At 37.6% G+C, this 17,532-nt stretch overlaps 2 protein-coding genes across 10 annotated transcripts in view; one reads left to right on the top strand and one right to left on the bottom strand.

Moving 5' to 3' along the window:
• The window catches only part of KLRG1 (killer cell lectin like receptor G1), a 265,527-nt gene that overhangs the window by 20,131 nt on the left and 227,864 nt on the right, over nucleotides 1-17,532 (bottom strand). The window contains exon 7 of one of the 2 annotated variants that reach the window (XM_047428074.1): nucleotides 172-1,385. The exons of the other annotated variant lie outside the window; for it this stretch is intronic. The gene's annotated coding sequence lies outside the window, so the exon portion shown is untranslated. Of the gene's footprint in view, nucleotides 1-171; nucleotides 1,386-17,532 lie in introns of those variants that run through there. 2 annotated transcript variants of the gene reach the window in all.
• Nucleotides 1-17,532, top strand: part of PZP (PZP alpha-2-macroglobulin like) — a 71,924-nt gene that overhangs the window by 12,956 nt on the left and 41,436 nt on the right. For all 8 annotated transcript variants that reach the window (XR_001748834.2, XM_047429274.1, XM_017019763.2 and 5 more), the window contains 5 exons: nucleotides 1,202-1,363; nucleotides 2,701-2,928; nucleotides 3,184-3,247; nucleotides 13,323-13,465; nucleotides 14,308-14,457. Coding sequence is in view for 7 of the 8 variants with exons in the window: in XM_047429274.1 (XP_047285230.1) it covers nucleotides 1,202-1,363; nucleotides 2,701-2,928; nucleotides 3,184-3,247; nucleotides 13,323-13,465; nucleotides 14,308-14,457 (747 nt within the window). In the remaining variant the exon portion in view is untranslated. The remainder of the gene's footprint in view (nucleotides 1-1,201; nucleotides 1,364-2,700; nucleotides 2,929-3,183; nucleotides 3,248-13,322; nucleotides 13,466-14,307; nucleotides 14,458-17,532) is intronic.

Genomic DNA, 17,532 nt, shown 5'->3' with positions numbered 1-17,532 from the left:
AGGAAAAGGAAAAGAAGGAAAAAGGGGAAGGGGAAAGGGAAGGGCCAGGGGAAGGGGAAGGGAAAGGAAGGGAAGAAAACATTCTCATGTGTATTTTCTTAGCTGGTTTGTTGCAGGAGATAATAATAACGTTAGTAACTAACATTTATGGAATAATTATCGTACACCAAATATCTTCTAATGTATTTTTATTATTTTAAATTTTTTAAAAATTGATACATCATAGTATCAATTTTGGGGAGTACATGTGATTATTTAATACATTCAAATAATTTTTGAAGATCCAATCAGCATAATTGAGATATTCATCACCTTAAATATTTGTCCTTTTTTTGCTAAAAATTCAAATTATTCTCTTCTGGCTATTTTTAAATCACAACAGATTATTGGAAAACTATAGTCGCCCTACTCCTCTAATGTATTTTTAAATAATTATTTAATCTTCAATACTACCATATAAAGGAGGCACAACTATTATCCCCCTTTTAATGAAGGTGGAAAACTGAAGCGCAGAGAAGTAACTTTTTTAGCTAGTAGAGTTCAGAACACAGCCAAGCATTCTAGCCTCCGTCTATGCGAAAAGGGAAAAACAGCCAGTTTAAATTCATTTCTTTTATTCTTATTCCAAGTGCATATTAAGTGGCAAGTTGTAGTTATTAAAAATCTCCCTGACTTTGGCCGGGCACGGTGGCTCACGCCTGTAATCCCAGCACTTTCGGAGGCCGAGGCGGGCAGATCACGAGGTCAGGCGATCGAGACCATCCTGGCTAACATGGTGAAACCCCGTCTCTACTAAAAATACAAAAAATTAGCTGGGCGGGGTGGCGGGCGCCTGTAGTCCCAGCTACTCGGGAGGCTGAGGCAGGAGAATGGCGTGAGTCCAGGAGGCAGAGCTTGCAGTGAGCCGAGATCGCGCCACTGCACTCCAGCCTGGGCGACAGAGCGAGACTCCGTCTCAAAAAAAAAAAAAAAAAAAACTCCCTGACTTTACTGGAAATACTACAAAGTTTCATAGATAAGCTATGTAGGACATGAGGATCCAAATGGAAGGAAACATTTTGTCGTAAATATGAAGGTTTGGTGGGGTTTTTTTGAGGGGGAGGTTGTTGTTTTAGTTATAGCAGCAAAAGCATTTGTTCACATGAGTTCAGTCCTCTCTGGGTGTTGTTCACATCAACTATCAAGTACTTTTCTTCTTTAGGTGCTTCTGGTGGATGGAAAAGGTGTGCCCATCCCCAATAAACTCTTCTTCATCTCTGTGAATGACGCCAATTATTACTCCAATGCAACCACCAATGAGCAGGGTCTTGCACAGTTTTCAATCAATACTACCAGTATCTCGGTTAATAAACTTTTTGTCCGGGTAAGTATAGAAAGACAAATCTCTGAGGACAAAGGAAATGTTAGGAACAGTGATATATTCAGAAGAAATGTACAGATTGCATTTAAGAGTAAGAAATAAGAAGATATCTAACTTTGAGTTTACAAATTTGAGGATAATAGAATTTCATGAAAAACAATAAAGGCATTAGAAAAGGCACTGCAGAAGTGCCTGATAATTTCACTATCATTATCTGTAACATTTTATATAGTATGAAAAAAATCTTATTTGATTTGGGTCGTGAACAATATCAGCTGCTTCAGTAATTCATGTACTTTGTTTTATGTTATTTTTTCCAGGTCACTTAGAAATTTTGTAAAGTGATCACACACACACACACTTAATATACACTGTCTAATGACGATGATCAAAAGATTTCCCTAGCTAAAAAGTTTTCATGCTTGTTATCTCAAAGAAGTGATAAAAGACTATAATTTATGGATTTCAGTGTCAATAAATAACATATACATTATTTCTGTTTCTCAGTTTCACGTGTTAACTCAGTTTAAAAACATGTAATGATGTTTAATGTTTTCTATGTGATAGACACTCACTCTCCCTAGGATTTAAAAGGTGACTAAATAGTGTCCCTACACTTTAAAATTTCCTATTTTCATGGAGTTAAAAGATCTGTAAATTATTAGTATGATGTGTTTATGCGCAAAAGGTTTTTTTAAATAGGAACTTTATTATGAGACCAAATAGAAGAGTCCACAAAATATGCCTAATAAATTTAGAAAAAAATAAGTGCACTTTGAAGAAAAGCTAAGGAGCAGTTACCACAAGGGAAATAGAATTGTGCGCAAAACATTATCTGCAAGGCTTAAAGTTTCAGAAATCACATAGGTCTTAAAGGTTGGAAGTCACAATAATGATAAGAGGCATAAATGCTAATTTACTAAGGATTACTAAAAACAATTTTGAAGCTCATAAGGTAATAGAATGTTTTATTAATACAAACCCTAATTTTAATTAAGCCAATTCATGAGGTAATTCTAATATCTGAAAAATCCCTTTTCCACTTGTTTGAGTTATTTATCATTCTCATTTTTCCTCTAGTTCTGAGGGGCAGGAGGAAAATGTCAAAGTAGTAATGAGTTAGCAGAATCAGGGCAAAAGAGATAAATTTGTGGATGATTTCCTTTTAATATTTGAATGTTGGGAGACTGAAAATTCATTTATTTGGCTGTCGACCAGTATGAGGGAGAGGCATAGTGTATTTTAGAGTGGAAGACACCGTTGTAACTATTCATTTTGGTGAGAAGCTAAGGTGAAGAATTTCAAGACAGTATTCTTTCTTTGCTTTTCTGTTTACTCAGGTTTTCACTGTGCATCCCAACTTGTGTTTTCACTATTCATGGGTAGCAGAAGACCACCAGGGTGCTCAGCACACTGCAAATCGTGTTTTCTCCTTAAGTGGAAGTTACATTCACCTGGAGCCTGTGGCTGGTACCCTGCCCTGTGGCCACACGGAGACTATCACGGCACACTATACACTGAATAGACAGGCCATGGGAGAGTTATCGGAGCTCAGTTTCCATTACCTGGTAAGAATGAGGCCATGGAATACAATTGCAGCTTATCAGTAGGACAAAAGTGGTCAATAGGCTCAGGAATGTCAAAATAAACTACTTGCACACAGCCACCTTGTGTTCTTGTTGTGCGTCCTTCATTCCATGAGTTTTCTTGAGGTTGATTCTCTCCAGCACAGACTTGACAACTGAAAGTGGGTCATGTGGGGAATAGAAGGCTGAGAACTGTGTCCAGCTCAAGAAATTTCCTTCACTGTTTTTTCATTTCAGATCATGGCTAAGGGAGTCATCGTCAGATCTGGAACCCACACTCTGCCTGTGGAGTCAGGAGACAGTGAGTATCCTCAGATTCATCTCTCCTTGCTCCCCTAACACATCCTTACCCTTCCCTCGGTGACAGTTCATAAATGGGAAATCGTTTCCATCATCCCTTCACAATAAGGAGGACACGCAGGAAAATACTCGTCTTATGACTCTTTGGCATTTTAAAATTCAACAGTCAACAGATAAATGTGATTGTCTACTCTGTATCAGTCACTCTGCTAAGGTACACTAGTTTTTCACTTTAGTTTGTTTCTTCTAACAGCAAAACAAAGCTCTTTTCAAAATCTAAGCTGCCTTCTATTTATCTCCACCCCCAATAAAGTGTACATTGATTAAATTAACATTGCAGAGAAGAAAAAAGTAATTATCATGGGAAATGGGAAGGAAGAAAGGTGATAGATTTTTTTTTCTTGTGCCAGGCCATGAGTACTTTATATACGAAATTGGATTCACTTCAAGAATAAATTGAGGCCTGGGGAACCAAGATCGTTTTCTATTCTAAGTCAAATAATCTAGAGGTTAAACCACTGAAAAGAGAACCCGTGAACATTTTTGTAATTAACCTAAACTAAGGGAAACATTTTACCAATTTCCACCACACCCCTAAGCTAAACTTAATAACCATTAGGATTTGCTCCATGCCTAATATTTTCTATTTATGTAGTTTCTCTTCCTGCTAAGCTGGAAAAATTAAATATTAATTTTTAATTTTTATTTTTCAGTTTTGAAAATTGAAACAATTTTGAGAAAGTTAAAATTTATGCATTATTAATCAGTACTCTAATAATTAATAATTATTTTAATTAAACATTAAAAACTGCTGCCAGTTTTGAATATCAGTTTTTTCCCAATACTAGTGTAGAGGTAGTTAGATATGGAGAATGGACCCCACTGTGTACATTGTTCTTCAATTTTTGTTGAATAATTTTCTTCTAATACTGGTCTATGTATCACATTCACAGAAATAATCAAAGGTTTTAAAACATTTATTTGATTTTTTCTTTTATAATATTCCAATTTGAATTTTATTCATAACAGGAAGAGTCTGTATGAAAATCTCTATATAGTAAAATGAGGACTAGTTATTTAATCATTTACTTTGTGAAGATGCCACAAAATTTTATTGAAAGTAGCTGAGTCAACAATTGGAAAAAATTTCTCTATATAGCTAATTAAATCATAATTGTTTCATCATAAAACAATTTTAACCACATATTTTAATAGTTATTAATTACCGATTTACTCTTCACCAAAGAATTATCAAAAGCACTTACACCTCTATGATAAAAGAACAAATTTTATTCACAATTTGTCTAAATTCAACTTTTTAAAACTTTTCAAATTGTCCAAGTTGAGCTTCCTCATATTGTTCTCTTTTCACACTATTCTTCATACTGTCCAAATTATTATTACCTAAATTATTTGCCTATTTAATTTTCAGAATTGAGATTTTAAATAATGAAATCTTCTCAAATTTTATTATTTATTATTATGTTTAAAACTTTTATTTTAGGTTTGAAGGGTTCATGTTCAGGTTTGTTATGTAGGTAAACTCGTGTCATGGGGTTTGTTGTACAGATTATTTCGTTACCCAGGTTCTAAGCCTACTACCCAATAATTATTTTTTCTGATCCTCTTTCTCCACCTACCCTCCACCCTCCAATAGGCCTCAATGTCTTCTGCTCTCCCTCCTCCCGCCCTCCACCCTCAGATAGGCCCCACTGTGTGTTGTCCTCTTTGTATCCATTATGTTCTCATCATTTAGCTCCCACTTATAACTGAGCACATGGAATATTTGGTTTTCTGTTCCTACATTATTTTGCTAAGAATGATAGCTTCTAGCTCCATGTATGCTCCTGCAAAGGACATGATGGCGTTCTTTTTTATGGCTGCATAGTTCCATGGTGTGTATGTACCACATTTTCTTTATTCAGTCTTCCACTGATGGGCATTTAGGTTGATTCCATGTCTTTGCTACTGTTCATTGCAACAGGGTTGCAATGAACATATGTGTGCATGTGTCTTTATGACAGAACAATTTATATTCCTTTGGATATATACCCAGTACTGGGATTCTTGGGTCAAATGATAGTTCTGTTTTTAGCTCTTTGAGGAATCGCCACACTGCTTTCCATAATGGCTGAACTAATTTACATTCCCACCAAGAGTGTATAAGCATTCCCTTTTCTCCACAACCTTGCCAACATCTGTTATTTTTTGACTCTTAATAATAGCCATTCTGACTGATGTGAGATGATAATCTCATTGTGGTTTTGAGTTGCATTTCTCTAATATTCAGTAGTATTGAGCTTTTTTTCATTGGCTTGTTGGCCACATGTATATCTTCTTTTGAAAAGTGTTTATTCCTGTCCTTTGCCCACTTTTTAATGTGGTGGTTTGTTTTTTCCTTGTAAATGTGTTTAAATTCTATACAGATGCTAGATATTAGACCTTTATTGGATGCATAGATTGCAAAAGTTTTCTCTCATTCTCTAAGTTGTCTGTTTACTCTATTGATAGTTTCTTTTGCTGTGCAGAAGCTCTTTAGGTTAATTAGATCCCATTTGTCAATGTTTGCATTTGTTGAGATTGTTTTTAGTGTCTTCTTCATGAAATCTTTGCAGTTCCTGTGTCCAGAATGGTATTGCCTAGGTTGTCTTCCAGAGTTTGTATACTTTTTGGTTTTACATTTAAGTCTTTAACCAATCTTGAGTTGATTTTTGTGCATTGTGTAAGGCGGGGATCCAGTTTCAATCTTCTGCCTATGGCTAGCCAGTTATCTCAGCACCATTTATTGAATAGGGAGTCCTTTCCTTGTGTTTGTTAGCTTTGTTGAAGATCAGATGGTTGTGGGTGTGCAGCATTATTTATGGTCTCTGCATTCTGTCCCATTGATTTGTGTGTCTGTTTTTGTACAAGTACTATGCTGTTTTGGTAACTGTAGCCCTGTAGTATAGTTTGAAGTTGGGTGGTGTGATGCCTCCTCCTTTCTTCTTTTTGCTTAGGATTGCCTTGGCTATTTGGGCTCTTTTTTTAGTTCCATATACATTTTTAAATAGTTTTATCTAGGTCTGTGAAGGATGTCGTTGGTAGTTTTATAGGAAAAACATTAAATCTATAAATTGCTTTGGGCAATATGACCATTTTCATGATATTGATTCTTCCTATCTATGAGCATGGAATATTTTTTCCATTTGCATCATCTCTGATTTCTTTGAGCAGTGTTTTGTAATTCTCATTGTAGAGATCTTTGGGCAATATGACCATTTTCATACTGATTCTTCCTATCTATGAGCATGGAATATTTTTCCATTTGTTTGTGTCATCTCTGATTTCTTTGAGCGGTGTTTTATAATTCTCATTGTATAGATCTTTCACCTCCCTGGTTAGCTATATTTCTAGGTATTTTATTCTTTCTGTGACAATTGTGAATGGGATTGCTTGCATTCCTGATTTGGCTTTTGGCTTGACTGTTGTTGGTGTATAGGAATGCTAGTAATTTTTGTACATTGATTTTGTATCCTGAAATTTTGCTAACATCATTTTTCAGCTTAAGGAGCTTTGGGGCCAACACTATGGGGTTTTCTAGATATAAAATCATGTCGTCTGCAAACAGGGATAGTTTGACTTCCTCTCTTCCTATGCTGATGCCCTTTATTTCTTTGTCTTGCCCGATTGTTCTGGTGAGGACTTCCAATACTGTGTTCAATAGGAGTGGTGAGAGAGGACATCCTTGTCTTGTGCCAGTTTTTAAGGAGAATGCTTCCAGCTTTTGCCCATTCAGTATGATGTTGGCCATGGGTTTGTCATAGATGGCTGTTATTATTTTGAGGTATGTTCTTTCAATATCTAGTTTATTGGGAGTTTTTAACATGAAGAGGTGTTGAATTTTACTAAAATCCTTTTCTACATCTGATAAGATAATCGTATTTTTGTCATTGGTTCTGTTTATATGAATGAATCACATTTATTGATATGCCTATGTTGAACCAACCTTGCATCCCAGGGATGAAGTCTACTTGATCGCGGTAGCTAAGCTTTTTGATGTGCTGCTGGATTCAGTTTACCAGTATTTTATTGAGGATTTTCGCATCAATGTTCATCAGGAATATTGGTTTGCAAATATTTTGTTGAGGATTTTTGCATCAATGTTCATCAAGGACGTTTGGCCAGACTATTTTTTATGTGAGTCCCACTTCTCCTCATGGGGGCAACCCCACAACCTGGGACTGCAGCCACCACCACCCCACCCCCATCAGGGTTTTCAGGCTGGTAGCAACTTTACATTTCCCTGGGACGGAGCTCACAGAGGGTGAGGCTGGCTGCCATTTTTTCCATCTTGAAGCTTCCGTTGCTGTAACTTTCAGGTTCCGAAGAGCAAGTAGTGATTAGGGTGTAGCATGGATCACCTGCACAGCACAGCTGACCCACTAGTTCTTTCAGTTGTGATGTGAGGTTAAGTTGAGATCTTTCTAACTTTTCGATGTGGATGTTTAGTGCTATAAGTTTCCCTCTTAACACCGCCTTAGCTGTGTCCCAGAAATTCTGGTGTGTTGTATCTTTGTTCTTACTGGTTTCAAAGAACTTCCTGATTTCTGCCAAAATTTCATTATTTACCCAAAAGTCATGCAGGAGCAGGTTGTTTAATTTCTATGTAATTGTATGGTTTTGAGTGATTTTCTTCTTATTGAATTCTATTTTAATCACATGGTAGTCCGAGAGTGTGGAGTGTATGATTTCATTTTTCTAAATTTGCTGAGGATAGTTTTATGTCTGATTGTGTGATCGGTTTTAGAGTAGTGCCGTGTGCAGTTGAGAAGAATGTATGTGTTGTTGTTTTGTAGTGGATAGTTTTGTAGATGTCTATCAGATCCATTTGGGTCCTGTGCTGAGTTCAGATCCTAAATTTCTGCCTTGATGATCTGTCTAATACTGTCTGTGGAGTGTTGAAGTTTCTCAATATTATTGTGTGGGAGTCTGAGTCTCTTTGAAGGTCTCTAAGCACTTGTTTTATGAATCTGGGTGCTCCTGTGTTGGGTGCATGTAGATTTTGTTTAGTTAGGTCTTCTCATTGAATTAAACCCTTTACCATTATGCAATTCTCTTGTCTTTTTTTTTTTTTTTTGACCTTTCTTGGTTTAAAGTCTGTTTTGTCTGAAATTAGTATTGCAACCCCTGCTTTTCTCTTTTTCTTTTTTTTTAAATTATACTTTAAGTTCTGGGATACATGGGCAGAACGTGCAGGTTTGTTACATAGGTGTACATGTGCCATGGTGGTTTGCTGCACCCATCAGCCTGTCATCTATATTAGGTATTTCTCCTAATGCTATCCCTCCCCCAGCCCCCCACCCCCGACAGGCCCCAGTGTGTGATGTTCCCCTCCCTGTGTCCATGTGTTCTCATTTTTCAACTTCCACTTATGAGTGAGAACATGTGGTGTTTGGTTTTCTGTTCTTGTGTTAGTTTGCTGAGAATGACAGTTTCCAGCTTCATCCATGTCCCTGGAAAGGACATGAACTCATCCTTTTTTATGGCTGCATAGTATTCCATGGTGTATATGTGCCACATTTTCTTTATCCAGTCTATCATTGATGGGCATGTGGCAACCCCTGCTTTTTTCTATTTTCCATTTGCTTGACAGATTTTTCTCCTTTCCTTTATCTCGAGCCTATCAGTGTCATTGCATGTGAGATGGGTCTCTTAAAGACGGCATACCACTGAGTCTTGCTTCTTCATCTGGCTTGCCACTCTGTGCCTCTTAATTGGGGCATTTAGTCTGTTTACATTAGAGGTTAATATTGAGATGCGTGAATTTGAATCTGCCATCATGTTGTTAGCTGTTTGTCAACTTGTTTGTGTAACTGCTCTATAGTGTCACTGGTCTGTGTACTTCAGTGTGGTTATGTAGTGGCTCGTAATATTCTTTCCTTTTTATATTCAGTGCTTCTTTCTGGAGCTCTTGCAAGTTGGATCTGGTGGTAACAAATTCCCTCAGCATTTCCTTGTCTGAGAAGCATCTTATTTCTCCTTCACTTATGAAGTTTAGTTTGGCTAGATATGAAATTCTTGGTTGGAATTTATTTTCTTTAAGAATGTTGGCCAGGTGCAGTGGCTCATACCTGTAATCCCAGCACTTTGGGGGGTCAAGGTGGTCAGATCATGAAGTCAGGAGATCGAGACCATCCTGGCCAACATGGTGAAACCCCATCTCTACTAAAAATACAAAAATTAGCCAGGTGTGATGGTGCACGCCTGTAGTCCCAGCTACTCGGGAGGCTGAGGCAGGAGAACTGTTTGAACCTGGGAGGTGGGGGTTGCAGTGAGCCGAGATCATGCCACTGCACTCCAGCCTGGTGACAGAGTGAGACTCTGTCAAGAAAAAAAAAAAGAAAAGAAAAGAAAAGAAAAGAAATGTTGAACATAGGCCCCAAATCTCTTATGGCTTGTAGGGTGTCTGCTAAGAGGCCCACCATTAGTCTGATGGGCTTCCCTTTGTAGGTGACTTGTCCTTTCTCTCTAGCTACCTTTAACATTTTTTTTTTTTCATTCATTTCAACCTTGGTGAATCTGATGATTGTGTGTCTTAGGGATGACTTTCTTGTGAAGTATATTTTGGGGTTCTCTTCATTTCCTGAATATGAATTTGGCCTCTCTAGCTAGGAGGGGAAGTTCTCATGGATGATATCCTAAAATATGTTTTCCAAGTTGCTTTCATTATGCTCATCTCTTTCAAGGATATCAAGGAGTTGTAGATTCAGTCTTTTTACATAAATAATCCCAGATTTCTCAGAGGTTTTGTTTATTCCTTTTCATTCTTCTTTCTTTATTCTTGTCTGACTGTTGTATTGCAGAAAGTCAATTTTGTGGCTCTGAGATTCTTTCCTCAGCTTGGTCTGTTCTGCTGTTAATACTTGTGATTGCATTACGAAATTCTTGTAGACTGTTGTTCAGCTCTGTCAGGTTGGTTATGTTCTTTTCTATACTGGCTATTTTGTCTGTCAGCTTCTGCATCATTTTATTGTGATTCTTAGCTTCCTTAGATTAGGTTTCAACATTCTCCTGAATCTCAATGACCTTCATTCCTATCCATAGTCTGAATTCTATTTCTGTCATTTCAGCCATCTCAGCCCTATTAAGAACCCTTGCTGGAGAACTGGTGTGATTGTTTGGAGGAAAGAAGATGCTCTGGCTCTTTGAGTTGTCAGAGTTCTTGTGCTGGTTCTTTCTCATCTTTGCGGGCTGATGTTCCTTCACTCTTAGAAACTGCTGTTGTTTTGATTTTTTCCTTTTATCCTATTCGATGACCTTGGAGGTTTGATTGTGGTATAAGGTGAGTTCAGTCAACTGACTTTGTTACCAGAAGATTTGGGGGCAGTGGAGGCAGGGAGGAGCAAGGCTCAGTTCAGGACTCCTGGATTGCATGCTGTAACTCTGGGGAACTGGTATCTGGCTCCAGCTTTGTTCTCTGGCTCCTTGAGGTTAAGAACATGTTGCACTGAAGGGACCAAGGTGCTCCCAGACCACTGGTCACAACACTTCCATGGGTGATGTCAGCCAAAGCACTTTGCAGGATGGTAGCAGTGGGATCCCTCCTCATTCACATGTACCAGCAGCATGGCAGTGGCAGCGTGGTGGGGTACACGCTCATCAGCTGTGGCAGGGTGCTAGCAGGTGCCAGGTTGCTGGCCTTTGTGCAGGCATTCATAGCAATGATCATGGCAGTATGACTCAGGGGATTGGGGGATCCCCACTAGCAACTGTGCATGCATTTGCACTGACGGTGGTGTTAGCATGGGGGTGGGGCACTGGTGGGTGCAGGACTGTATGAACCTTTTGTGTGCATTCATACTGGTGGCAGTGTCTGTACATGGCTAGGGGTGGGTTTGTGTGTTTTGTGCCTAGTTTTGCACTGGCAGCTCCATTGCAGGGGCAGGGTGCTGGCAGGGGTGGGGTTGGCGAGCTTAGTGCCTGCCAATGCTCTGATGTCAGTGGCTGTGTGGTAGGAGTAGGGGTGATGGAGGACACTCACGCTGCCAGCAGTGGCAAGGCAGGGTGCACACACACACATGTGTTGGCAAATTTTATTATTAAAAGCTTTAATTTCCTACCACTATTCTTTGCCATAAAGTCACCATAATTTTTTTTCTGGTTTTATGACATTTCAATCTACCCCACTTTCCTTGTTGAACTCAAGACAGTGATAAAAGGGCTTCCTTCCTTTTAGAAGGGGAGCTTATTTCCTTTTTGAGGTCTGAGCTAAAACTTGATCTGTCCAACTGAACACAAATATGAATGGCATAACACTGCCTTAAGGATATTTTAAGCTTCCTTTCTTCCCAAACTTAAGAGCTTTGCAGTATAAACACATAGTGATATAAAATAAGTAATGTTAAGCTAAAGTCAAATTTGCATGAAGTTGGAAAAATTCCACATTCTACGTAGAGTTATAACAATTTTTAATTGAGTGCCACCAATCTCAGGCTTTAATATAATCATTTTAAAAAAGTAAATTTTGGCCGGGCACATTGGCTGCTGCCTGTAATTGCAGCATTTTGGGAGGATTGCTTGAACCGAGGAGTTTGGGACCAGCCTGGGCTACATAGCAAGATCCTATCTCTACAAAAATATATAAAAAATTAGCCAAACGTGGTGTTGTGCACCTATAGTCCCAGCTACTGGGGAGGCTGAGGCAGTACAATCACTTGAGCCCAGAAATTCGAGGCTGCAGTGAGCTATGATTGCACCACTGCATTTCAGCCTGGGCAACAGAGCAAGACCCTGTCTCAAAAAAAAATTACATTTATTTAAGGTGTACAACATAACGTTATGGGACACATATAGATAATAAAATGACTACTATAGTGATGGAAAGTAACATGGCCATCATCTCACCTACTTACTCATTTGTGTATGTGTGGCAAGAACAGCTAAAATGCACTCATTTGACAAAAATCTAAAATATAGTACCATTTTATTAACTACAGTCTTCATGTTGTGTGTTAGATAGCTAGCCTTGTTCATCCTGATATTATACTTTGTAAAATATTCCTAAGGGTATTAGACTTAATTTTTAATACATATGGTTAAGAAAAAAATAAAATCAATTATAGTTCTTCTACAATTCTAATTGTCCTTGTCCTACATTATTTTGAGTTTCAACAATGTCGAGAGACTCTGTTATCCTATGTATTGTCTAACTGCACCAAGAATATGTTACTGGAAAAGAACTTGGAAGCACAGGAATTTAAAGCCATATAGCTGGGAATCTGGGACAGGAGGGATGTAGAGAAAAGGAAGACATGGAAATAATACCAGAGAGTATCTGTCCTTTATGTACAGGCATCTCAGAAACTTTTCAGTCATTAAGTCTCTCGTGGTTTTATAATTACCGTTATTCAACTAAATGTGGGCCATCTACTCAAGTCCCCAGTGGACCATTCAGAAAATGGAACTTTTGTTGTTGCCCTTTTGTAGCTACCTGGTGGCCCTTCACCCTGCTTTAAAATGTAAAGTATTTTCTGAAGTGTTATCTGGTACCATTTAATGCTTCCAGTAGAAATATACCAATGTACTTATAAGAGTTTAACACTGCAATGAAAACTCCAAGAATTAAATATTCTTTTAGGAAGTTCAATTAGTATGAACTTTTTTTTACATACAGAGCTTTTTAAAAGTCATATATGACAAAATAAACTTATTATATCTTACAAATTATAGCTCTATATTTAAATTGAGAATCACCTCTAGTCTGAAATGTAAATAAAATAGTTGTCACATATATATGCAGAAAATTTGGAGCTACTGATATTTAATTGATTTAGGCAACAGTTAAGTGGAATATCAAATAAAAAAGATGTGAGTGAAAGGAACTTTGTTAACTTCTGCTATAATTAAAGTTCTGAAGGGAGACATTGGCCTACTAATTTCACCAAATAACTAATGGCACATAGAGAGACTAAGCCATTAGAATGAATGGACGCAGTTCTCAAGTGGATAAGACCAAGCAATAGTGTCCTTATGACACTATTTTTATGACCTTTTTGTCTCACTTATGACCATTTTGTCTCACTCTCTCCATGTTCCAGTGAAAGGCAGTTTTGCCTTATCCTTCCCTGTGGAGTCAGACGTTGCCCCCATTGCACGAATGTTCATCTTTGCCATTTTACCAGATGGAGAAGTTGTTGGAGACTCTGAAAAATTTGAGATTGAAAACTGTCTAGCCAACAAGGTGAGCGATTTAACATAAAATTAAAAGAACACAAATAAATGATACTGTAGGTGCCATCTATTTTACCCCAGAGAAAACTAAGTCCAGAAAAGTAAAATGAGTTGCCCAACAGTTCCCAACAAGTTTATGGCAGACCCAAATTTCTAGGGATCTAGTACAGCACTTTTTCAATTACACAAAGCTGCTACCAAATAAAATACAATCAGTTTTGTGTTCATGATGCTCTTCTCTGCTGATTCAGTTGTGTGAGTATGTAAAATGCTAAGACTCAAAAGTTCCCAAAACCTGAAGAATAAGTGTAAACACCTAGAATTACCTTATCATGTGTCAGAGATAAAGATGGCCATCTAAAAATCTAACAAGGTATCTATCCTTATTCTGCCTCAGTTATCTCCTTAGGACAAGACTAAGCTACCGAGAAGCTATATTTTGTTAAGATTCCCCACTTATGTAATAGTCATGTTTAAAAGAGTGAGTAAATTAATGTGTCGCCAAAGCATTAGATAATTTGGATCCTGTCTAAATAGAATCACTTTTGATCACTGGAGTAGGTAAGCTTGTTATAAAATTAATACTTGCAAACATAAGGGAAGTCATGTACCTTTTAACAGATCTAACTATTTATGTCTCTAGAGTTGTTGGGATCTGTGAAAGTGGTAATAAGTGATTTACAAATTATTTTCTATTTTTAAAGTGAAGGAAAGTTGTAAAAATAGGTTTCTGACTGACATTACCAACATAGTCATATGAACTGAATATAAGGGTGGCTTAGGAAATGCAGGTGACTGCAAGATCACAGAAGTAGGGAAAACACTGGTTGACGTTTCCTTCATTTCCCACAGGTGGATTTGAGCTTCAGCCCAGCACAAAGTCCCCCAGCCTCACATGCCCACCTGCAAGTAGCAGCTGCTCCGCAGTCCCTCTGTGCCCTTCGTGCTGTGGACCAAAGTGTGCTGCTCATGAAGCCTGAGGCTGAGCTCTCTGTGTCCTCAGTGAGTTTCCAGTGGCCTTGGGGACCAGGAAGGGCCATTCCAGAGGCTCAGATCAAGAAGCCTCTATTAGCCCTTTGTCAGATGAGTAGGTTGCGAAAATTTTCTCCCATTTTGTAGGTTGCCTGTTCACTCTGATGGTAGTTTCTTTTGCTGTGCAGAAGCTCTTTAGTTTAATTAGATCCCATTTGTCAATTTTGTCTTTTGTTGCCATTGCTTTTGGTGTTTTGGACATGAAGTCCTTACCCATGCCTATGTCCTGAATGGTGATGCCTAGGTTTTCTTCTAGGGTTTTTATGGTTTTAGGTCTAACATTTAAGTCTTTAATCCATCTTGAATTGATTTTTGTATAATGTGTAAGGAAGGGATCCAGTTTCAGCTTTCTACATATGGCTAGCCAGTTTTCCCAGCACCATTTATTAAATAGGGAATCCTTTCCCCATTGCTTGTTTTTCTCAGGTTTGTCGAAGATCAGATAGTTGTAGATATGCAGAGTTATTTCTGAGGGCTCTGTTCTGTTCCATTGATCTATATCTCTGTTTTGGTACCAGTACCATGCTCTTTTGGTTACTGTAGCCTTATAGTATAGTTTGAAGTCAGGTAGTGTGATGCCTCCAGCTTTGTTCTTTTGGCTTAGGATTGCCTTGGCGATGCGGGCTCTTTTTTGGTTCCATATGAACTTTAAAGTAGTTTTTTCCAATTCTGTGAAGAAAGTCATTGGTAGCTTGATGGGGATGGCATTGAATCTGTAAATTACCTTGCGCACCAGCATGGCACATGTATACATATGTAACTAACCTGCACAATGTGCACATGTACCCTAAAACTTAAAGTATAATAAAATAAATAAATAAATAAATAAGCCTCTATTGAGAGTAAAATATAACAGTAAAAATACGTACCACTTGCCGAGTACTTGATAGTTTCTCAAGCTGTCTCATATAGGTTTTCTCACTTAATCTGCCCAACATTCCGGAGAATAATAGTCCCATTTTAAGATTAGAAAAGTGGATTCAGAATAGTTGAGAGATTTGTTCAAGATAAGTGGCACAAGCTGAGATGTGATTTTGAAATTCTGAATCTGCCTGCAACTTTGATTCCTTCTATGACACAGCTTCTATTTCTGTAAAGAATCAAATCTTAACCTCAGTTATTAATGTCTTACAGTGATCTTAATGAAAGCTATATTTTGTTAAGATTCCCCACCTACGTGATAGTCATGTTTAAAAGAGTGAGTAAATTAATGTGTTGCCAAAGTATTAGTTTGGATCCTGTCTAAATAGAATCACTTTTGGTCACTGGAGTAGGTAAGCTTGCTACAAAATTAATACCTGCAAACATAAGGGAAGTCATGTATCTTTTAACAGATCGAACTATTTATGTCTGTAGAGTTGTTGGGATCTGTGAAAGTGGTAATAAGTGATTTACAAATTATTTTCTACTTTTAAAAAATGACCTACTACACCTTTGTTAGCAATGTTGATTCACAGACTAAAATTTTAATTATCTGCTTTTGACTATAGTTATATTAATTCATGGGGGTGACACTTGGCATGTCGTGATGATTTATTTATTTTATTATTATTATTTCAAGCTTACTACATGCTGGATCTATTGTAAAAGCTGGGGAAACAGAAGGAAACATATCACAGTCCTTGTCCTTAGAGAGAGGCAATAAAAAAGGATATAGGTGGATCAGCAAAATAAAAGGTGAACATTGGTTAATAATTGCCATTTGGAGAAAATGATATCTAATATGGGGTTTTTGAAGAATAATTATCAGAAGGAAGGGAAAAGTTCAGAAACTACTTGTCTAACCTATTTAAAACTAGATTACTCGTGTTTGGAACTTTTTAACATAATGCAAGAAAAAATAATGTTATGATTTGATCTTTGATAAAAAGTTATGAGAAATTTTATAGCTTTAACTCCCTCATGAATCACCATTTAAAAGGGTCAATCAACTTATCTGTTTGGGAGGTATTATTACCTTTCAATGTTGGTTGGTAAATTCGTAATATGAAATTTTCTTTTGTTTATTCTAGTTTCTACTTCATGTCTATTAAAATTTTAAACTGTGAGATAACTATATCTGAGACCCCTGTCCTATTTTTAATTATCAAAATTAACATTCTTCAGGTTGGAGCATATCCACTAGTGCCCCCTGATCTGCAGGGGTGTGTCCCAAGACCTTCAGTGGGTGTCTGAAACTGTGGATAGCACTGAACCCAATGACCATCAGCTGGAACACATTTCTGTTCCTGTCTTCCACCCACAAATTTAATGCCTTTTCCATCTTAACAAAGCACTTATCGCGTGCTGTAGCCATAATTTTTGTAGTTTGAGATGTGACAGCAAAACAAGCATGATTTTCTTTTTCCTTCTTCACCATTTGATAGATAGAAGATTCGTTCTTACCGTAGATCTTGGCAACCTCAGCATACATTATTTTTTCTTTCCTTATCAAGTGGGGAACTTTCACCTTTTCACCTAAAGGAAGCACTTTACGGCTTCTCTTTCACCTCCCAATTGCCAGCATCAATACTCTGGTGCATTGGGGCCATGATGAAGTAAAATAAGGGTGACTTGAACACAAGCACTGAGATACTGTGACAATCTTGTAACTGAGGATTCTGGGTGACTAAGGGGCAGGGAGTGGCTACAGTGTGGATCCACCAGAAAAACAGAGGATTCATATCCCGAGCAAGATGAAGCAGGAAAGTGTGAGATTTCATCATGCTGCTCAAAATGGCAGCAATTTAAAACGTATGAATTGTTTATTTCTGAATTTGCCATTTAATATGTTTGGATCACAGTTGACCACAGATAATGGAAATCTTGGAAACCAAAACCGCAGATTGGGGGATTGCTATAATCAAAATTTTTCTTGATCTTGATTTGTATTTTATTAACAGGTCAAAATATCTCCTCATAGCGTAATAATTATTAGGCAAGAGACAATGACTATATTTCTGTATTTTAGTTAGAAGAAACAACAAGAAGTTAACCCAAAACAAGAAAACTTTCTCTCTGAGTGCTTTCTTTGGTAATATGCCTGATATTTTTACACTCTCTGTT

Source organism: Homo sapiens, chromosome 12, assembly GCF_000001405.40.
Source record: "Homo sapiens chromosome 12, GRCh38.p14 Primary Assembly".
Lineage (NCBI taxonomy): Eukaryota > Metazoa > Chordata > Mammalia > Primates > Hominidae > Homo > Homo sapiens.
This window is presented reverse-complemented; position numbering and strand designations above follow the sequence as displayed.